We start from the raw sequence: 22567 nt of genomic DNA, 5'->3' as shown, positions 1-22567 counted from the left end.
TTCCCTATTTAATAAATGGTGCTGGGAAAACTGGCTAGCCATATGTAGAAAGCTGAAACTGGATCCCTTCCTTACACCTTATACAAAAATTAATTCAAGATGGATTAAAGACTTACATGTCAGACCTAAAACCATAAAAACCCTAGAAGAAAACCTAGGCAATACCATTCAGGACATAGGCATGGGCAAGGACTTCATGTCTAAAACACCAAAAGCAATGGCAACAAAAGTCAAAATTGACAAATGGGATCTAATTAAACTAAAGAGCTTCTGCACAGCAAAAGAAACCACCATCAGAGTGAACAGGCAACCTACAGAATGGGAGAAAATTTTTGCAACCTACTCATCTGAGAAAGGGCTAATATCCAGAATCTACAATGAACTCAAACAAATTTACAAGAAAAAAACAAACAACCCCATCAAAAAGTGGGCAAAGGATATGAACAGACACTTCTCAAAAGAAGACATTTATGCAGCCAAAAGACACATGAAAAAATGCTCATCATCACTGGCCATCAGAGAAATGCAAATCAAAACCACAATGAGATACCATCTCACACCAGTTAGAATGGCAATCATTAAAAAGTCAGGAAACAACAGGTGCTGGAGATGATATGGAGAAATAGGAACACTTTTACACTGTTGGTGGGACTGTAAACTAGTTCAACCTTTGTGGAAGTCGGTGTGACAATTCCTCAGGGATCTAGAACTAGAAATACCATTTGACTCAGCCATCCCATTACTGGGCATATACCCAGGGGATTATAAATCATGCTGCTATAAAGACACATGCACACGTATGTTTATTGCGGCACTATTCACAATAGCAAAGACTTGGAACCAACTCAAATGTCCAACAATGATAGACTGGATTAAGGAAATATGGCACATATACAGCATGGAATACTGTGCAGCCATAAAAAAGGATGAGTTCATGTCCTTTGTAGGGACATGGATGAAACTGGAAACCATCATTCTCAGCAAACTATTGCAAGGACAAAAAACCAAACACGGCATATTCTCACTCATAGGTGGGAATTGAACAATGAGAACACATGGTCACAGGAAGGGGAACATCACACACTGGGGACTGTTGTGTGGTGGGGGCAGCGGGGAGGGATAGCATTAGGAGATATACCTAATGCTAAATGACCAGTTAATGCATGCAGCACATCATCATGGCACATGTATACATATGTAACAAACCTGCACATTGCGCACATGTACACTAAAACTTAAAATATAATAATAAAAAATAAAATAAAAAAATAAAAAACAAAAAAACCAAAAAGCAGAAAACAAAAAACAAACAAACAAACAAAAAGATGTGTGTGCATTGAATTCATTTGAATTGTGATGGAGAGGCCGTGGGAAGCCCTGAGAGACCTCACTTACCCCTCCCAGAGCAAGGCAGATCCGAGCTTCCCTGGCACTTCCTGATGCTCTCCTCAGCTGACAGCGTGCAGGACTGTGGGTGCTCACACTTCTTCCCATACCAGCCTGCTTTGCAGTCACATCTTCCGCAATTACACTGTCCATGACCTTCACAGTGAGAGTGGCAAAAAATAAAAATGTACATAAAGATAATGAAGTTGGAATTAGTTTTCATTCTAACAGCAAATGTCACAAATGAGTCAGGATCTTGATGAACATAATATAACATATTAAGGCAAACGCACATTTTTCTCAAATTCTTAAATAACTGACTTATATGAATTGATCTTGAGGGGTAGAGAAAAGCAACAGATAAGATAAACAGTTTAGTAAGGCTATAAACTTCAAGCTGTCAAATTCCAGGTGCATGTGATTGTATTGGTTTGCTGGGGCCTTAAAGGAGTATTTGGGCCGGGCGCTGTGGCTCATGTCTATAATCCCAGCACTTTGGGAGGGCGAGGAGGGAAGATCACGAGGTCAGGAGTTTGAGACCAGCCTGACGAACATGGTGAAACCCCGGTCTCTACTAAAAATATGAAAATTAGCCAGGCATGGTGGCGTGCACCTGTAATCCCAGCTACTTAGGGGGCTGAGGCAGGAGAGTCACTTGAACCCAGGGGGGCAGACATTGCAGCAAGCCAAGTTCATGCCACTGCACTCCAGCCTGAGCGACAGAGGGAGACTCCGTCTCAAAAAAAACAAAAAAACAAAAAAAACAACAAAAAAAGAAAAAACGGAAAGGAGTATTTGGTGGATTTGGCAATTAATTTGCATGGAGGGCAGTCACAGGGAAGGACTAACTGTATTTTTGAAGCAGGATTTTTTTTTTTTTTTTTTTTTTGCTTTTTAGACTACTTTTTAATATATAAACGCTCCTTTCTCAGTAATTAATGCAATTAGTGAAATTAAAATCAGTATGGATATAGAAAAGTTGACATTAACAGCCCAGTAGACATAATTAACATTTATAGAGCACGCTAACAAACAATATCAGAGAGAGTACATATTCTTTTAAGACTGTTTTCTTTTTAGAGCAGTTTTAGGTGCACAGCAAAACTGAGAGAGATGCGGAGATATTCCATATACCTCCTTCTCCCTCACGTGCATAGCCTTCTCCATTATCAACAATTCCCACCAGAGAAGTACACTTGCTGTAACTGATGAGCGTACATTGACACATCACTATTACCCAAAGTGAATAGTTGACATTAGGGTCCACTCTTAGTGTACATTGTATGAGTGTGAGTAAACATATAGTGACATGAATTCACTACTCATACACAGTAATTTCACTGCCCTGAAAACCCTCTGTGATCTGCCTAGTCATCCGTCCCTCTCCCACACCTTTCCCCAATCCCTGACAACCTGATCTTTTCACTGTCCTCCATAATTTTGCCTTTTCCTTAATGTTATATAGTTGGAGTCATACAGTATATGTAGTCCTTTCAGTTTTTTTTTCAGTTGGTAATATGCATCTAAGATTCCTCTATGGATAAATAAACTGTGGTATATCCAAAGAATGGAATATTATTCAGAGCAGGATTTTTTTAAATTAACCATTTAATGGATCGCTATTTATTAAGGTCTCACAACCACGGTCAAACTGGGGGCCATGAACTGACAAAAAGCATGAAATCTAGAATTCAGAAGAGGTCGCTCTTTTCTTCCCCAAGATTTATTGAGGTATAAGTGACCAAAAAATTGTAGATTCTTAAAGTATGTAACATGATGTTTAGATATGCATATGCATTGTGAAATGATTACCACAACCAAGATAATAAACATATCCATCACCTCACACAGTTAACTTTGTGTGTGTGTCTATGTGCAGTGGGAATATCTAAGATGTACTCTCCTCATACAATGCAAGTAGACAGTATTACAAACTATAGTAACCATGCTGTACATTAGATCTCCAGAACGTATTCATCTTATAACTTTGAAAGTTTGTATGCAAAGTCTCCCCATTTCTCCTACCCCTTGGCCCTGGGTAACCACCCTTCTACTCTATTTCTAAGAGTTCAACGTTTTTAGATTCCACATATGAGTGAGATCGTGCAGTGTTTTTTTGTCTATGTCTGGCTTATTTTACTTAGCAGAATGTCCTCCAGGTTCATCCATGTTGTGGCAAATGAAAGGATTTCCTTCTTAAAGGACGAATACTATTCCACTGGGTATTTGTGTATATATAGATATATATATATACACACACACACATATGTAAATATATGCATATTATGCATATGCATATCAAAACATCATGTTACATATATAGATATATATCTCACATTTTCTTTACCCATTCATCTTACAACAGACACTTGTGTTGTTTTCATATCTTGGTTATTAGGAGTAATGCTGCAGTGACCATGGGAGTGCAGACAGCTCTTCAAGATAGTGATTTAATTTCCTTTATACATAAATCCAGAAATTCCTAGATCATATAATTCTCTTTTTGATTTTTTAAGGAAACTCCATAGTATCGTCCATAATGGCTGTATCAATTTACATCCTCACCAACAACATGGAAGTTTTCCTTTTCTCCACAACCCTGCCAACATCTATCTTTTGACTTTTTGATAACAGCCATCCTAACAGTTGTGAGGTCATATTTCATTGTGGTTTTGATTTGCATTTCCCTATTAGTGATGTTAAGCACTTTTTTCATATACCCACTGGCCATTTGCATATCTTCTTTGGAAAAATGTCTATTCAGGTCATTTGCCCATTTTTTTAATCTGGTTGTTTGATTTTTTTTGCTATTGAGTTGTATGAGTTAGATATAGTTTCAACGTTTGTCCTCTCCAAATCTCACGTGGAAATGCAATCCCCAAAACTAGAGATGGGGCCTGGTGGGAGGTGTTTTGACTATGGGGGCAGATCCCTAATGAATGGCTTAATGCTGTCCTTTTGCTGATGAGGGAGTTCCTGCTCTGGTAGTTCACGTAAGATCTGATTGTTTAAAAGAGTGTGGCGCCTCCTCCCAACCTCTTTTGTTCCCTCTGTCTTCCTCTCTCTCGCCATGTGATGCACTAGCTCTGCCTCCACTTTCAGCCATGATCAGAAGCTTCCTGAGACCTCACCAGGAACAGAAGCTGGTGGCATGCTTCCTGTACAGACTGCAGAAATGTGAGTCAAAATAGACCTGTTTTTGGTTTTTTGGTTTTAGTTATTTATTTACTTTTTTGAGACACAGTCTCACTCTATTGCCCAGGCTGGAGTGCAGTGGCACAATCTCGGTTCACTGCAATCTCCAACTCCCAGGTTCAAGTGATTCTCATGTCTTACCCTCCCCAGTAGTTGGGACTACAGGTGTGCGTCAACACGCCCGGCTAATTTTTGTATTTTTAGTAGAGACGGGGTTTTACCATGTTGGTCAAACTTGTCTACAACTCCTTTCCTCAACTGATTTGCCCACCTCGGCCTCCCAAAGTGCTGGGATTACAGGCATGAGCCACCATGTGCCTGGCCCAAAATAAATTTATTTTCTTTATAAATTACCCAGCCTCAGGTATTTCTTTGTAGCAATGCAAAAATGGACTAGAACTCATATATTTTGAATATTAACCCCTTATTGGATATATGGTTTGCAAATATTTTCTCTCATTCCAGAAGTTGCCTTTTCATTTCTGTTGTTTCCTTTGCTGCTGTAGAAACGTTTTAGTTCAATGCAGTCCCACTCATTTATTTTTGTTTTTGTTGTCTGTGTTCTGGTGTTATATCCAAAAAAAAATCATTGCTAAGACCAATGGCATGGAGCTTTTCTCCTACGTTTCTTCGAGTAGTTTTAAAATTTCAGGTTTTACATATAAGTCTTTAATTCATTTTGAGTTGATTTTTATATACAGTATGAGATAAGACTCTAATTTCTTTCTTCTGCATGTGGACATCCAGTTGTCCCAACACCATTTATCGAATAAACTGTCTTTTCCCTATTGTGTGTTCTTGTCATCTTTGTTTAAAGTCAATTGGCTATAAATGTATGGGTTTATTTCTATGCTGTCTATTCTGTTCCACTGGTCTATGTGTCTGTTTTTGTGTTAGTACCATACTGTTTTAATTACTATAGTTTTGTAATATAATTTGAAATCAAGAGCTATGGTGCCTTCAGCTTTGTTCTTGCTGAAGATTGCTTTAGTTATTTGGGGTATATTGTGGTTCCATGTGAATTTTAAGATTTTTTTGTTATTACTATTAAAAATGCTAGGAGAGGTTAAAAATTATTATATGTACATATTTATGGGGTAGAATCAGATGTTTTGATACATATATAGGTTGCATTATGATCAAATTAGGGTATTTCACATGATGATCACCTTATGCATTTATCATTTGTGGTAAGGGCATTCAAAAGCTTATCTAATTATTTTCTAATTATAATATGCCATATCTTACTGTTAACTGTCCTCAACCTACTGTATAATAGAAGTTGAACTTATTCCTGCTATCTGATTGTAACTTGGACCACAGACCAACCTTTCCCTATCCTCCCATCTTCCTCCTCCCGTCTCTGGTAACCACATTTTAAACTCTCTGCTTCTATGATTTCAATTTTATTTTTAGATTCCAATTTTTTAGGTTTTGAAATAAGGTCTTTCTGTGCCTTATTTAACCTAACATGATGACCTCCAGTTCCATTCATATTGTTGCAAATGACAGGATTTCTTTCTTTTTATGGCAGAATTATCCATTGTGTATATATACCACAATTTTTTATCCATTCATCTGTTAATGGCCACTTGGGTTGATTCCATATCTTGACTACTGTAAATAGTGCTGCAATAAAGGGGTACAGATATATCTTTGACATATTGATTTCACTTCTTTTGGATATATATCTAGTAGTGAAATTACTGAATTATATGCATATCACAGCTCTATTTTTAATTTTTGGAGGAACCTCCATACAGTTTTCCATAGTGACTATACTAATTTACATTTTCACCCACAGTGTGTCAGTGTTCTCTTCTCTACCTCCCTTGCCAACATTTGTTTTCTTTTGTCTTTTTTTATTATAATTCTATAATAAAACCGATTCTAACTGGAGTGAAGAGGTATCTCACTGTGGAGTTGATTTGCATTTCCCTGACAATTAGTGATCTTGATCATATCTTCATATACCTGTTGGACATCTGAATGTCTTCTTTTGAGCAATATTTATTAATGTATTTTGCCTATTTTTACTTGGGTTGTTTTCTTGCTGTTAAGTTCCCTATGTATTCTTAATATTAATCCTTTGTCAGATATATAGTTTGCAACTATTTTCTCCCATTATGTAGGTCTATTTGTCATTCTTTTAGTTGCTTCCTTTGTTGATCAAAAGCTTGTCAGTTTGATGTCCTTCCATTTATCTATTTGTTTTTGTTGCTTTGCTTTTGAGGTCTTATTTTAAAAATTCTTGCCCACAGTAAAGTACTATCCTATGTTTTCTTCTAGTAATTTTGTAGCTTTGGGTTTTACATTTAAGACTTTAATGCATTTTCAGTTGATTTTTGTATATCATGAGAAGTAGTGATTTAATCTCATTCTTCTGCATATGGATATCCAATTTCTCCAGCACCATTTATTGAAAATATTATCTTTTTTCCAATGTGTGTTCTTAGCACTTTTGTTGAAAATCAGTTGGGTGTCAGTCATGGGACTTTTGATAGGAATTGCAACGAATCTGTAGATCACCTTAGGTAGTGTGAATATTTTGACAATATTCATTTTTCTGATCCATGATCATGAGATATCTTTCCATTTATTTGTGTCTTCAATTTCTCTCATCAATGTTTTACAGTTTTTGGTGCAATAATCTTTCACATCCTTGGTTAATTTTATTCCTAAGTATATTATTTTTGACACGACCGCAGATAAAATTGTTTTCTTAATTTCTGTTTTGGTTACTTCACCGAAGCAGAATGTTATCTTATGGAGTCTCCACACTTTATTTTCATGCACTTTTTAAGCAAATACTACATGTTTAGCCTGGAGACCCTTAGAGTAAAACCAGTAACCTACATGGAGTTTACAATCCTTGAAGATTAGCCTAGTGTATTCCAAAGAAGTCAGAAAAGATATTAAATTTTTCAACACATGAATATACAGTTTGCAAAGAATTGTGAGAAACGGTGTGGTTTAGCAAAAATCGACCTACATTATCAATAAAATAATGGGTTCAAATCCTGATTCTGCTTCCTACAGAGTGGGGCTGGTCAAATGACCACATCTGAGTTTCAGTTTCTTCATTTTAAAAAGGAAGAAAATATATTATCAATCCACATTTCTTCGGAAGTACATTAAATAGTTTAAAAGCTACATAAAAAGGAGCTACTGGTTTTTGTATTCATCAGTTCCCACATTATAAGCAAGTAGAGGAAAGCACAGTTTCAACTGAGCTTTCCATAATTCCTAATAAACATGAAGCTACTCATCACCGCAGATATAGAACAAAGTAGATTTCTATAATTGCTGCAAAAATGCATGAAGAATTTTAAAAGTGGAATTACACTTTTTAAAAGTACATAGAAATGCTAATGGATGAAAATGCATGCTGTCTTTAGCATCTGATATTAATGTATATCATCCAATATGAAAATTGGCCTCCAGTAAAGACTAGACCATTTTACTAATATTCCTTGAGGTTTGCGGTTCCATCTTCTGAATTTGAAGAAACTGGACAATACACATATGTAGAAGCTTTTCACCATTTAACTAATTTTTAGTAAAAAAAAAATCACAAAATCATAAATCAAAGTGGAATGAGACATTAGGGATCACTGAATTTAAATCTCTCATTTAATCCCAAATTCAATTCAATTCAGATGCTCATTTGTTGATCATCTGCTATGTAACAGAGTCTATTTGACAAATTGTTGCCATAATTATCTGTTCTAGACCTCAGTTGAAAGGAAAAGAAAATTGTTATTATTAATAAACATACATGACATATGAATATGATTAGACTTTACAGTATGGGAATTTTTGTAACGGTTTATGCTTATTAACAATTATATTTCATAGGTTGTTGGGTTCTATGGCTTTTGCCATTCATTCATCTCAGTTTAAGAAGTTCCCATCGGACGTGGTGACTCACGCCCATAATCCCAGCACTTTGGAAGGCCAAGGCAGGTAGATAACCTGAGTTCAGGAGTTCAAGACCAGCCTGGCCAACATGGTGAAACCCCATCTCTACTAAAAATACAAAAATTAGCTGGGCATGGTGGCAAATGCCTGTAGTTTCAGCTACTTGGGAGGCTAGGCAGGAGAATTGCTTGAACCCAGGAGGCGGAGGTTGCAGTGAGCCGAGACTGTGCCACTGCACGCCAGCCTGTGTGACACAGGGAAATTCCAACTCAAAAAAAACAAAACAAAGAAGTTCCTATCTTTCTTTATTTCCAGCCCTCATGTAAGGTTAAGGACAAACATTGCAAACAGATCTACATTGGAAATGCCTATATAAATAATGATTTTAACACATAAATATTTCACATTTAAAGTACAGTCAATTCTGTTGTTTCACAGGAGCCAATGGCTTTGAAATTCTTGGAGACAAGTGGTTTTATTTCAGCGACAGATCTGTTGTGAGGAAACTGGGCAAAGTACAGAACATGCTGACATTTGCGAGAGACTTGTTGACACTGGAACAATAACATTGCTTGTTGACACTTTAACAATAACATTGAAAACCAGATTGAAGAGGGAGAAAAAGTTTCTCCACTCTTGAAAGTTTAATGGCTGTGAAGGTTAGAACAATACATCTAGCCGATGCGGGACCCAGGAAGTCCCTAACTGCCCAAGAGAATGTCATCTGCCACTAAGGCCCACCTGAATTCACAAGCAGTGACGTGCCCCACAGGAGGATTCCCTCCCTGGGGAGGGAAAATAAAATAGAAACCTTGGGGATAAAGGCAGGTACAAAGGGAGACACACGACTGAAGGGAGAACGTTCTTAAGTTGCATAGTCGGAATCCATGTTTAAAAGCAACCATTTTTTCCTATCTGAAATCCATTCACATGTTGACATCTTTAAAAACATGTGGCAGAATAAAACAAATCCTAAAGGCAGAAGTTATTCAAAAGAGATTTTTAAAGTTGGAATCCTATCCAATTAGTAACAAAAGCCAGATTAGCTGTGGAAGCCTTAATAATTTTTCGTTTTTTAAGTTCAGATGCTCTAGACCTGCAGGAAGAAATCTTTGGCGGTCTTTCACCTTTATTCTCCCATAGGCACGTTCTGTTTTCTTATCATTTTATTTTTCTCAGTTTTTAATTCTCTCAACCTTTTTCCCCTAACATAATTCTATTATTGCAGCTTTATTTTTATATCCCATTGCTATTTCTGATGCTCTTCTACAAACATGAGGGGGAAAATACAGCCTATAAGCTCCCACACCTCTTTTCCTGTGTACTTAATGCAACATCATGAACATTCTCCAGGATCATGCTTCTAAATGCGTGCTTCACCTCCAGGCATTGCCAACTATAAGCAAAGCTGGGAAGAATATATATGTGTCCTTACTTTGGCATGTGTGTGATGACTCCTCAATAATCTTCTCAATAACACACCTGCAGCCAATTGCTTGCACATTGGGATGAATTTAAGAGATTGTATCATTGCTGTGATTGGCTGAAGGATAAAAGACCTTAGCCCTAAACAGGAAAGTATCAAAGTGGGAGAACATTGTTTAGTTCAAGATGGCCAATGTTCCTCCTCAAATCATCCACTGATATGTCTTCTATGCTTTACCACCAGGATTTGATATTAATTGAACAAGTTCAAGCTAAGGAAAGAAGAGGTATTTAAATATGAGTGACATACATAAGCCATCCATAAAGAATGAAGTTCCTGAAAGTCAGCGAATGTATGGTCACCAGTTTAAGTGACAAAATAGTGGCACAGAAAGTGTTTGATGGTTTTATTGTCTGGGGAGAGTAGAACTGGTTTTATTGTTTGGGGAAAGTAGAATTTTCTAAACAAGATATCTTACTGTATATCATAGAAGAAGCAAGCATAAAAGTGCATGGATAAACTTTCTATAATTCTAGCCTACCATAATAAAAATAGTATCGACAATGGTATTGCCTAATTTAAATGTTTATTACAGATTAATTGACAGAGTTGAAACAGAAACATAACTTTTGCTTTTTCAGTAATAAAAATTATATACTACATATTTCAAGAAGTTAGTCATGTGCTGTCAAAATATATTTTAGAATATTAGAGATACCACTTTAAGTGAAACTGTACATGTCCTACAAAATCCTTTGTGATATTTAACTGGTAGAGTTTAAAAATCACTTAGAAATATCAGGTGTTGGTACCAGATTCTCAGGCAGGTATTGGGCTTTTCAGATAAGACAGAAAATTATAAAACAAAATTGCAACTTTTCTTGTGAATTTACCAGTTTCTCAATTCCAATTTTAAAAGTTATGCCAAAGAAGGAATCATTTGGTAGAGATAAAGTCAAGAAGATGAAAATGTTGGGTTTTGCTATATAGAAGAGTTTAGAGATAATGGTATCTATTTAGCATGAAAACCCTTTAGACTGCCATAACATTACATCAGGTTTTTTTTTTTTTTTAATAGACAAATAGTGAAAAGGTCATAAAAGAAGAAATCAGGAGACTTGTGTCCTTCATCTGATGTGCCACTATCTTTTCTGGGCCTTATCTCAAATTGCTTTATCTTTCAAATGACAGAACTAAAAAAAGATCAATTTGCCACATGGATCTGAAATGCAATGCTTCCATGCTGGTTTGTCAAATTTATGTGTATGTTAAGCCTGCAGGTTTTAGTTTCATTACTTCTAACCAGTATTCCTTTAAACTGTGTAGGCAGAAGATCAATGAAATAGAGATGAAAGATTCGGCATGGTGCTGTTTGTCTTGATATCGAACATCAGAAGAATTCAAATAAGAGAAATGCTCTCTAAAGATCTCTCTGTATGTACACACACATGCACACACACACACACACAATGGAAGAATACAGTGCTTGGTGTTGGTATAATCTACCTACCATAAAAATGACTGCAGCCCAAAATACCCATACGAAAAGGAAGATTTGCAGCAAGAGCAGCCATTGAGTGGTCCAAAGGCCATGCTGGGAAGGCAGGAATTATTAAGGTTCTCAGGCCATTATAGGAAAGGGTGTTAACTAAACTTTTTCTTGTTTATTTGTAACTATTGTGTTCTTTGGAGTTATGCTATCCAAACTCCAGAAACAGGTGCAGGTGTTTCAGCACAAGTGCAGTTGCATCTATTCCAGACAAACACTTCTCTGCTTTAGAGGATACTTCTTTCTTTTTAAAGGATCAAAAAATGCCTGTGAATTTGAATCGTCTGTTAACATGTTTACAAAGTAACATGAAGACCATCAATAGAGAAAAGCTTTGGGGAATAACTTAGATCTAGGTAGTACTTGCTATTTTTTTTAAATTCAATATATTAATTTTTCCTTTCAAGAAAATGTGGTCTGGATATACTTAATCATTTCCTTTAGTTTCTTTCTTAATGCTTTGACAATCCACAGGGACAAATTTCACCACATAATATGGTTCTATCAAAATATTCCATTTTCCAAACTAATGTAACTCTAAGCCAAAACTTTCCCTATATTTTCATAATTTTCTTAGGCAGGGAAAGCTGAACGATAAAGTTTAAGGTCACATTGCAGCGTATTTTTCCAATTATGGGATTTGGGTAAATAGACCTGAGTGGTAAGCGGCCATTAGGAATAAAGCAGTTATATTAGAATCAGAAAGTAAATTGGGTGTAACAAACAGGACAGTCGGGACACGTCAGGATGCCCATTCATGCCCTGATCATTTCAGTCACACTCAAATTGTGTCAACCGTATTGTCTTTGAGGGGTGCGTGTATGTGTGTAGTATAACAGTCATGTTGGTGTATGGGCAAATGAACATACACAAACACACATATTTTGTGGATGATGAACAACAGACAGGATTAAAAGAAGTAAATAAAATTGATTTATTTGGTGGGTGCAGGGACCATGTTTCAACATATTTGTGTTCCCTATATTCATGATGTGTTAGGCATAAAATATTTACATTTAAATGCATTATTGAACAGATAAATGGAGAGAATGGAAATGAATGAATAAAATGAGAATGTCAATTAAAAGAGCTAACTTAAACTAATCCGTCCAGAGACTTCCCTTGGACTTAAATAAGACCAAAACTCTCAGGATGGCAAGAATAGGAGCTAAAAATAAAAGTTCATTTCATCAGAGCCTTATTATGTTCTAGTCTTGCATGAAAGACTAGAGAATATTGATGTCATTGGGTTACTTCTGTCTCATAACACAAAGGTATTAATATACTCAATAATCAACTATATGGCACTCTTCTTACACTGCAACTTAGACTGTTAATTAGGAAAAATTTAAAGACTAATAAGCATAATACCATACAGTATATAGAATTCTACAGATTCTGTAAGAATGATGAAATACTGCAGAGGTTGATGTCTGCTCCAGATTGTAATGATGTTCAGAGAAGCTTAGTTTTATTTTAAAAAAATCTGAGTACCCAGAGGACAGTTCTTCCTCAGAAAAATAAAGTAAAACTGGAGAATTGTATTTGCATCACCTGGAGATTAAGTTACATGAGTAGTCAGGCTATATGTGTTTTCAGATGACACTTTTATGGCAGTGTGAACTTTATCAAGTTACTTAATTTCTCTGAATGTATTTTCTCTTCTGCTAAACTATAGACAATAATGCCTCCCTCTCTGAGTTAGTGTGTACATAAAATGGAATGAGGTTTATAAAAGAACTCAGCAAGGGTCCAATAGAGTAGAGTCTCTGTAAATATGAGTTTCTTCCTCTTTCCTCAATTCCTCATTCTAAGTGTGGGAGCCAAGCTGTGGAAAGCTGGCCATGTTCAATTCACTTCAACCAGCGAATCATAAAATCACAATAATAGATTGATGTTTTCTTGTTCAAACTACAGCCAATTGTGCCATCACCTCTTCCTACCCCTACCTGTCCATACCCACTGTGTGGAATCTCATAGGGTATGAAAGAAAGGAAAATGTGAGAAAAAGGAAAACAGGGAAGAGGGGTTGGAGGGGAATAGGTGAGGTGGAAAATTAGATTCCAGTGCAGCCTCCTTAATGACACTTCACCTGCTCAGCCTAGAGTAAGCACTCCAAGACTAAATGACACGCTGCGGGAATTGCACACAAGCTTACACGAGGATTGAAGTGTCAGTTCAGGAGTGATCACCCATCTTTACCCCATGACCCCACTCCCTCACAGTGAGATGGACTGGCTCACAGGACCCTGAATTATCGCTATAATGTAGTTAGTTTGAATTTTTCAACCCCAGTCCAAAATCAGGATCAACATCAGAATTATGGATTTCACAAGAGAGTGAATACCCATAGGAAAAAGGGGCTCCATATCAGCAAGTCACACACTTACAATTTTAAAATACTGCCTTTTATATGCCTCCCTTATTTTCTTATTTTAAATTGTGTCAAATCATGTTTATCTCAAAAGCAATCTTAAAATGACATTGCCGCCGGGGGAGGTGGCTCACACCTGTAATCCCAGCACTTTGGGAGGCCGAGGCTGGCGGATCACAAGGTCAGGAGATTGAGACCATCCTGGCTAACACAGTGAAACCCTTCTCTACTAAAAATACAAAAAAATAAGCCGGGCGTGGTGGTGGGCACCTGTAGCCCCAGCTGCTCGGGAGGCTGAGGCAGGAGAATGGTGTGAACCTGGGAGGTGGAGCTCGCAGTGAGCTGAGATCATGCCACTGCACTCCAGCCTGGGCAACAGAGGGAGACTCCATCTCAAAAAAGAAAATGGTATTGTCAAATGGCATTTCCTGAATGCCAGCATAGTTTTAACCACCAACTCTATGCTTACAACTTGAAATTCTCTTGGTTTAACCCTGACCCTGACTCACATATTCAACAGGCTGGGAAAAAATATAAACTTTGGCTTACCCTTTGCCCTCTATGCTGGAGATGTCTAGAAACAAACTTGACAGCTTCCTTCCATATTCCCTATTTCAGTAAATGGCACCAACATTTTCCCAGACACTCAGACTAGAAATCTGGTGATGACAGCACTCTATTGCCTAAAACCATCATTAGCTCCTCATTGCCTTTAGAATAAAACCTGGGTCTGCAGGAAGGTAAAAAGCCCCCCAGTTCTTGTTTCTCAACCAACTTTACCTTTTACCACATGCTTCCTTAATTCTGCATTCTGGTAATTTCAAACTGAGTCTGGTCCTATACACAGATTCTATCCCTCTGTTCCTTCTGCTTGGAATGCCCCTCTCATCTTTCTTTACCTGCAAGCCTATTTTTTTTAGGATAAAACCCACATGCACTGTGATCCAATAGCCTCCTGCAATTCATGAGCCCTACATCACCACCACTGTGAAGAGCCACATCATCCTAATTAAAATCTCCAACAGGCCTCTTCCCCACTATTCTCATCATCTCTTTGGAACACAGAAGCCACTCACTAGTCATGAGCTCTTTTATTACCACTGTGTTGACAGCAATGATAATGAAGAACATGAGCATGTATAATTAATAATAGAAAAAAATACCCTCAAGAGAATAGTGTTCACAAAATGTTTAGGAAATCCTCTGGAGCACAAGAGATTATCAGAAGAGGGAAACCCTTCTGCAATGGGAAGATTTAGCAGCAGGCTTTCCCCAGTCAGTCTGGAGAAGCCTTTGAAGTTGCACACTCATAATTAAATGGGACAGTTCTTTTATCTCCCTTTGCTGGCAAACTTTCAGGAGACCAGAGGAGTTTCTATCCATCTGCATGCACCAATGAGGCAGTCAAGCTTAGCAAGATGTATATGTGTATGTGTCTACCTTATGGGTTATCAAATAGAACTGGACTGAAAATCTATAACTCCATTTTTGCTAAATGATACCTTTTCAGATAGACTTCTGACTGCTTTCTTTTTCTTTGCACTATTAGACATCCTGGACTTACATATTTTATTTATTTGCATTTAGATTGCAAACTCCATGAAGTCAAAGTTCATGGCTGTCTCCTGTCCCCTACTGGCTCCTACTACACCAGTAGCCCAGATGTCACTCAGTCCCTAACAGACAGTATCTGCCCCACAGTATTTACAGTCAAAGATTTTTGAATCTACTAATTGATATTTAATTACAGACTACATTGCAGAATAACATTAAAGCCTATCAAAGAGTTAATGCACAAAATAACCCTGAGCACTGTATTATCCTGTTTTGTAATACATTAATATAGGTGCCCTAATGATAACTATCCTGTTCATTGTCAACAGCTCTGCTAGTTTTGTAGTCTCAGAGTTGAACTGAGTAGCTATCTAGAGCTAATGGTTCTCCTGGGTGAGGAATTAGACTAACTTTAAAAGAGTGGGTGCCCTCTCATCTCTAGTCTTTGCCAACTTTGGGAATTCTCTGGAGGTTTTCCAAGTTACCAGTAGGAGCACTGCAAATATAAGATGCTTTAGAATACACATTCAGTTTCTTTTACAGGGTATGTGAGAATCAGAAATCTTGAAAACAGGGAAATATGCATTTTTATTTTTTATTCATTACTTTTTAAATTTTTGTGGGTACATAGTAGATGCATATGTTTATGGGGTACATGGGATGTTTTGATACGGGCATGCAATGTGAAATAAGTACATCATGGAGAATGGGGTATCCATCCCCTCCAAGCATTTATCCTTTGTGTTACAAACAATCCAATTATACTCTTTACATTATTTAAAAATGTACAATTAAGTTATTGACTATAGTCACCCTATTGTGCTATCCAACAGTATGTCTTATTTATTCTTTCTAATTGCTTTTTTTTTTTTTTTACCCATTAACAAGCCCCACCTCCCCCTCCAGAAAAACAGGAATTGGAAGAGCCCTTACCTGAACAGAAGTCATCAGAATATCGGTCATAGACAGCTCTACAGTCCCTCTCATCACATTCACAGGTGTCCCCATGAATATCTCCCCAGTCCCCAGTCGGATCAACATCGTGACAGGTACATTCACCACATACACAAGTCCCTAGGTGGGAAGAAGAATTTTATAAGAATCCAGTCAAGAAAAACCATGAAAGAAAGCATTTCACATATCGCTTATTATTTTCTGTTTACTTTGTGTTTGAAAAAAACACATATATTCAGACAAAAATATTCTAAAAAGGAAAAACACCATCTAATATTGATAATAGAGATTCCTTAATAAACAAAAGTTATTATCTATTCTATAATTATGTGAGTTGGTGGAATGTGTCATTAGTATTATGTTAGTTTCCTTCAAAGATAACACTAAAACAATTTATATAAGATATAATCCTTTCCCCCAAGAAGCTTGCAATCTATTTGGCAAATAGAAAGCTAATTAGAAAGAAAAATTAACAAACACTAAAAACAATGTGCAAATATTTTGTAAACTAAGACATGAATGCTCTAAGAATTTGGAGAAAGAGGATCAATGAGTGTTGGAGTAATTAGCAGTGGATGGATTGGATATATAGGGATTAGAGGAAATGTTCTAGGAGACATTGGAGGTAGAACTAAGAGAAAGTCAAGAAAAAAAGACTGAGCAAAGAAGGGTAGGGATGGGCATAGGGACCCTGAGGTGCATGTTAAAAAATAAAAAAGACTAAGAAGTAAGGTTTGCTAGATCAGATGAGCCCAGATTATAGAGAATGTTGGAGATCAGATTGAGAGACATAAACTTGGTCATTTGCAGATTTGCAGAGGGAAATGCCCAGCTGTACATCATGTTTACTCTGTGTGGATTATCAGTAACTGTCTTTAGGGCAACCAGCTAATCATTTGATAGAGACATAAAGTTAAATCCTTTTCTTACCTCTTACATCAAAATAAGTACCAGTTGGATTAAAGATTTAAACGTACAAAATAAAACTGTATAATATGAACTAAACTCTTTTTATTCAAGACCCCAAAGCACAATTACTAAAAAAGGAAATTGAAAATTTCCATAAAAATTGAAAATTTTGGTTGGAAACAAAACACTGTAAAAAAAAGACTGACAAAGCTGAAACAAGTAGTTAATATGTCTGTAAAAGACAAAGAACAATTTCAAAAACATATAAATAAATCATAGAATTGAATATATAAAGGATTAATATGCCCAAAGTGAAATAGACAAAAGGAAAGAACAAAAGGAAATTTCATACAGAAATAATGACAGATAAAGATGAAAAATGTTTATCACTCAATCAACCACTACTAAGTGGGTAGCAGTGGCAGATCTTCAAAATAATCGTGATTGGCAATTATTTTAGAAGTCAGATCGTCAGAGGTGGAAAATATTGTTGGATCCAGACTCGGTAAAGGTGTGGGACAATGGGTACTTTCTTGCCCTGAAGGGGAGTACGAAATGGTACAACTTTCTGGGTAGCGATTTTGCAATATGTACTTTTTATATCTGTGTTATTATTCAGACTTATAGCTCACTTTAATTAATGTACCCAACAGAAAGAAAAAGTACACACAAGTGTATGTTCAGAAATATAAAATATAGTTGTATTTATGTTTTTGAAAAATTACTAGTGACCGAAATATTGTTCAATGGGGAATTAGCGCAGTAATGGTACACACATATGGACTACCTAGCAATCACTAAGTAATAAATTAGGTTTTTGCCCCATAAATATGGAAAGATAAACAACATATATCATGAAATAAAACTGTAAAATTACAAATCAGCACGTGCAGTATGATTTGATTTTTTTTCTTTAATAAGAAGGAAATACAGGGATAGGGCAGCCATAAAAATGAATTTTAATAAATAAATACGGACTGAAAGCTCATGTACCAAAATGTAAAAGGAGGTTACACCTGGAAGTTAGGTTTATGGGTCACTTTCTTATTTTTCTGTGTACTCTACTTTATTATCTAGATTTTAAAAAATGAATATGCATTGCTCTCATAATAGGATAAATGAGTTTGGTCAGGAGGAACAGGGACTAGGAGCTATGCAGATGTGACGAAGAAGCAGCTTCTCAGCCACGTGTAAAGGGGTCCACTATGAAACTCAATAAAACAGATGGGCAATAGAGGACATTTGTTCTATTAATGCTTATGTCTGCAACATTGGTTTTTTGGCCCCTGAAGATGGGGAAAAAGGAAGACAAGATAGGTATGTGCAGGGACCAGTGTGTTTCTATTACCTATGGATGCAATGATGCAGAAATGCTTTCAGGGTAGTCAGGAGTATTATCTTTTGAGAAAAAAAAATGACTCATCTCAGCGCCCACTTCTGCCCTGTCTTCAAGTACCCCTGAATCTCAGAAGCTGTGAGCCTCGCTCAGGCAAGCTGCTTCCCATTCTGCCTCTGCCATAGCTCCAGGTCAGAATGCTCCAAGCACAGCGAAGTGGGATGCAGGTGGCTTAGCTTATGTTTCTGAAGGACATCGTCTCTCACAGCCAATGTAACTCTGCTGCAGAACCTGACCTTAATCCACAGCCCAACCAATTCCATTTTCCACCTCTCTCTTTTTGACAGCCAAATAGTCATTTTCCACAGTACCAGAGTTCAAGCTTCATATACTTAAAAATGGTGACTGTGACCCCTACTGCATAAAAGGACTTATGCAGAAAACACATTGGACACAGGAAGGAGAACATCACACACTGGGGCCTGTTGTGATGTGGGGGTAGTGGGGAGGGGAAGCATTAGGAGATATACCTAATGTAAATGATAAGTTAATGGGTGCAGCACACCAACATGGCACATGTATACATATGTAACAAACATGCACGTTGTGCAATGCACCCTAGAACTTAAAGTATAATAATAATAAATAATAAAAAGAAACCATAAGGTAAATTAGTATGATATATAGTAAGATTTAGTCCCCACAAAGGAAGACTTCATGATTTTGTTCCAAGTTCCTGCCTTTTTATTTATTTTCTCTATGTAAAGAAATGTGGCACATTTTACTCCTCTATGTCAATTTCTGACAGGTGGTATGCTACGATTTCTGTATTAGCATTACCTATTGCAATGCATTATTCATGTATAGAAATGAAAAAAAGTTTTCCAGCTATCTAGATTTTTTTAGTTTTAAAGAAGTATAATCACTTTTTAATGCCATTGGATAGGCAATGAAAACTTTAGTATGGCTCTCTTTATCACTACAGCAAAGGGAAAATTAAGTATTTTCAAGGAATTTTAAAACTATGTTTAAACTGTTTGATTTTACATCAAAAGTTAGTTAACTACCTTTAAATTATAGTTTAGCAATATTAATATATTTGTTAACTTCCTTTGTAAAGTCAGTGTACATTTCCTATGGCTATTGGATACATACTTTGTATATCTATTGTATTCAATATCAAATTTTTATTATTGCACACGGAAGTTAAATTAGTCCATATCAAATCTGCATTTCAACCAAGCCTTCCATATACTCATAATTAAGACAAGAGGGTTTTCTGAATTCTCTACGGATAATTAGATGCTCATGCTGTAGATGGTTCTGTTAGTCAAGAGACATTTAACAGAAGTATCTAAAGGAATTGCCTTTTAGCTGCACTGTGCTATGTCTGGAGGGCTGCCAAAGAAATTACAGTCCCTAAGTTAACTGTTTATTCAGTGAAGCTTAAAGAATGACAGCAACTTTCTTATCTTTCTCTTTTCTACTCAATAAAAAACAAGACAGAAAAGATTGTTGGGATAGTAAATGTTGATTTACATCAAAGTAAATGGTTAGAAGATAACTTCCTCCCACACTAGAGGAAATACAAAGAAAAGAAGTGTTAACAATTAAAAGCTTTGTTTGCCTCCCCATTATGTAGTAACATGTATGAATGACACACCTCTGTTACTGCAGATTTTGCCATCTGGAGACGTGCATCTTCGCTTGCTTTCCCAGGGGGTGATATCGCACTGGAATTCACATTTATCTCCATGCCAACCAGCCTTGCAGTAGCAGTTTCCACAGTAACACTTCCCATGGCCTTTACCCAAAATGAATTTTATACAGTGAGGAAAAAAGCAACTTTCATAAGCAGAATTAACTTTCTATCTCTTTGTGATCATTTTTGCCTTCTGAAATACTGTCACAGCTCCACATTCCTTGCCTAAAATAATCAAATTATACAGCTTTCTCCAAACACATCATGGTTGTGCCTATACCTGCTTAATCATACAAAAAGAGCAAAGTGTCCTTTAACTTGGCCTAGACAGGGAACTGATTAAAAGTATTTTTAAAGAAATGACATGAATGACCATGACAGTCTATTACTTTTCCATCTCAAATGCACACATCAAACCCAAATATATATGAGCATTCACTCTAAGGACGTTTCTTGAATTAGTTATTAAAATATTTCATTTGAAATCAACTATTGAGAAACCAATGGTGCATATTTACCTAGATAGACATTATGAATGACCAAACAACTCTTTAAAGCAGAATAAATATTTCATCTTTTCACTCAACTGTGCCCCACAAGCTGTTGTGTTCCACCATGTGAAAGAGAGGTTTTCAGCCTAGTCCATGTTTAATCCTCATTTAGACAAACAAAATACCATGGGCCCTTGGCCACGCAATCAAATTCCCTTTCTACTTGTCAAGGGGATACAAATGACAGGTAAGGGCACTCACCATTTTGTGTCCAGATGCCCTCTTTCAGCTCCCACCTCTCTGTAACCTGTTACCTGCTCATCTGCACTTGCCTCCAAGCCATCTGTAGTGAATTATCGCACCATTGCTTTCCTCATCCACACCTAGCAATCCTTCTGCAAATTCCCCAAAGATGGCATTTATCCCAAATTTTACTTCTTATACTCTCATCTTTGTAGTTATATCACCTAAGTATAAATGTATGTCCTTGTTCTTGTTTTGTTTTTAGTCTATTCTTTCTGTATTATAGGAGTTTGTGTTTTATCAGTCTATGGCTAAAGTCTTTGTTCTTTCCATCTCTCTTCTCTTACAGCCAAACTCCCCAAAAGACAATGCAAAACTGATTATGAGACTACTTTTCATTGTCTTATAAGCATATTTATCATTCTAACACTATGGTATTTCTGGCCAATGGCAAGAACATTAATAGGACCTGTAAAACTCACATAAGAAGCAAGAAGTACAACAGAATATTCTGGTATCCTACGCTATTCATGTCCAGCAGATGAGACTTCCATCAAGAAGATACACATCTGAGAGACAGAGCCAGAGAGATGAACAGAAAGAGTGCTATAGTGAGACACAGAGAAAGAGACAGGGACCCAATGCCATGTTCTCTGTCTAAATAAGTTATAATTGGGATATTCAAAGAAAATCACTTGTTAACCTAAAAATCAATGACCATTTCCACAATGAATTTGAATTTTAAATTTGTTTACTTAAGCAAATGCAAAGGCTGTCAAGTGATTTAATCAGTACAGAATATATCATCTATATATCTTATTTATGAACTTAAAATGGTGTCTACTTGCACACACAAATCACATCCTAGTGATATATCACAGGCCTCAAGAACTCAAGGATTACACTGAAAAAAAAGCAATAGTGTATATTAATTGCTTTTCTTAGGAGTCAGGTTTGTACGACCCAATCACCTTTTTAGACTACGGAATTTATTTTCTCTGTAATTTCAGAAAATTTATACAGAAGGTGCAACATAAGTAAGGATTACTATATTAATAAATGATAGAAAATCTATATTTCTCACATCCAAATTCTTTGAATATTTATACAATTCAGTACTGAATTAGGGTTTTACTAAGAAACCTTTGAGTTAGAGGTAAATAAGGAAGCAAAAATTATGTAACAATACACGTCTATGCAGGTATGGAAAATTAAACAAATATCCACATAACTCAAATAAAAATATTGAACAAGACACATCTGAATAATTGAGATTAAAATGTGTGCTTTAGGACAATACATATTCCAGACAATAAACATAATTCTTTGCTTTGTGCAAACTGATAGAGCAAGAAAATGTCTATTTGTACTACTTCACTGATGAACTGTGGAATCATCTCTCAGCAGATTGGTTTCATGTGAATGACACATGGAAAGATTTACAATCCCAGGCAATGTCACCCCCAGAGGGTGTTTACTGCAGTGCTGGTGTCCTTGTTCAGAGACTTTGCACCATGAAATTGCTTA

The 22567-nt window shown here is 36.5% G+C and overlaps 1 protein-coding gene across 4 annotated transcripts in view, besides 1 other annotated feature; it reads right to left on the bottom strand.

Annotated features, from left to right (window-relative positions):
• Positions 1–22567, bottom strand: part of ITGBL1 (integrin subunit beta like 1) — a 268182-nt gene that overhangs the window by 121162 nt on the left and 124453 nt on the right. For all 4 annotated transcript variants that reach the window (NM_001271754.2, NM_004791.3, NM_001271755.2 and 1 more), the window contains 3 exons: positions 20268–20408; positions 16339–16479; positions 1396–1542 (listed from right to left, as the gene is read on the bottom strand). In NM_001271754.2, coding sequence (NP_001258683.1) covers positions 1396–1542; positions 16339–16479; positions 20268–20408 — 429 coding nt within the window. The remainder of the gene's footprint in view (positions 1–1395; positions 1543–16338; positions 16480–20267; positions 20409–22567) is intronic.
• Positions 19963–20257: a silencer, noted in NCBI's record as "tiled region #3234; HepG2 Repressive DNase matched - State 9:DNaseU". NCBI's record gives its function as "represses a minimal TATA promoter and a strong SV40 promoter by Sharpr-MPRA in HepG2 cells {active_cell/tissue: HepG2}" and the evidence as "EXISTENCE:reporter gene assay evidence [ECO:0000049][PMID:27701403]".

This window comes from Homo sapiens, chromosome 13 (genome assembly GCF_000001405.40).
Source record: "Homo sapiens chromosome 13, GRCh38.p14 Primary Assembly".
Classification (NCBI taxonomy): Eukaryota; Metazoa; Chordata; class Mammalia; order Primates; family Hominidae; genus Homo; species Homo sapiens.
Note: the sequence above shows the minus strand (reverse complement) of the source record. Positions and strands in the feature narration are given on the sequence as shown.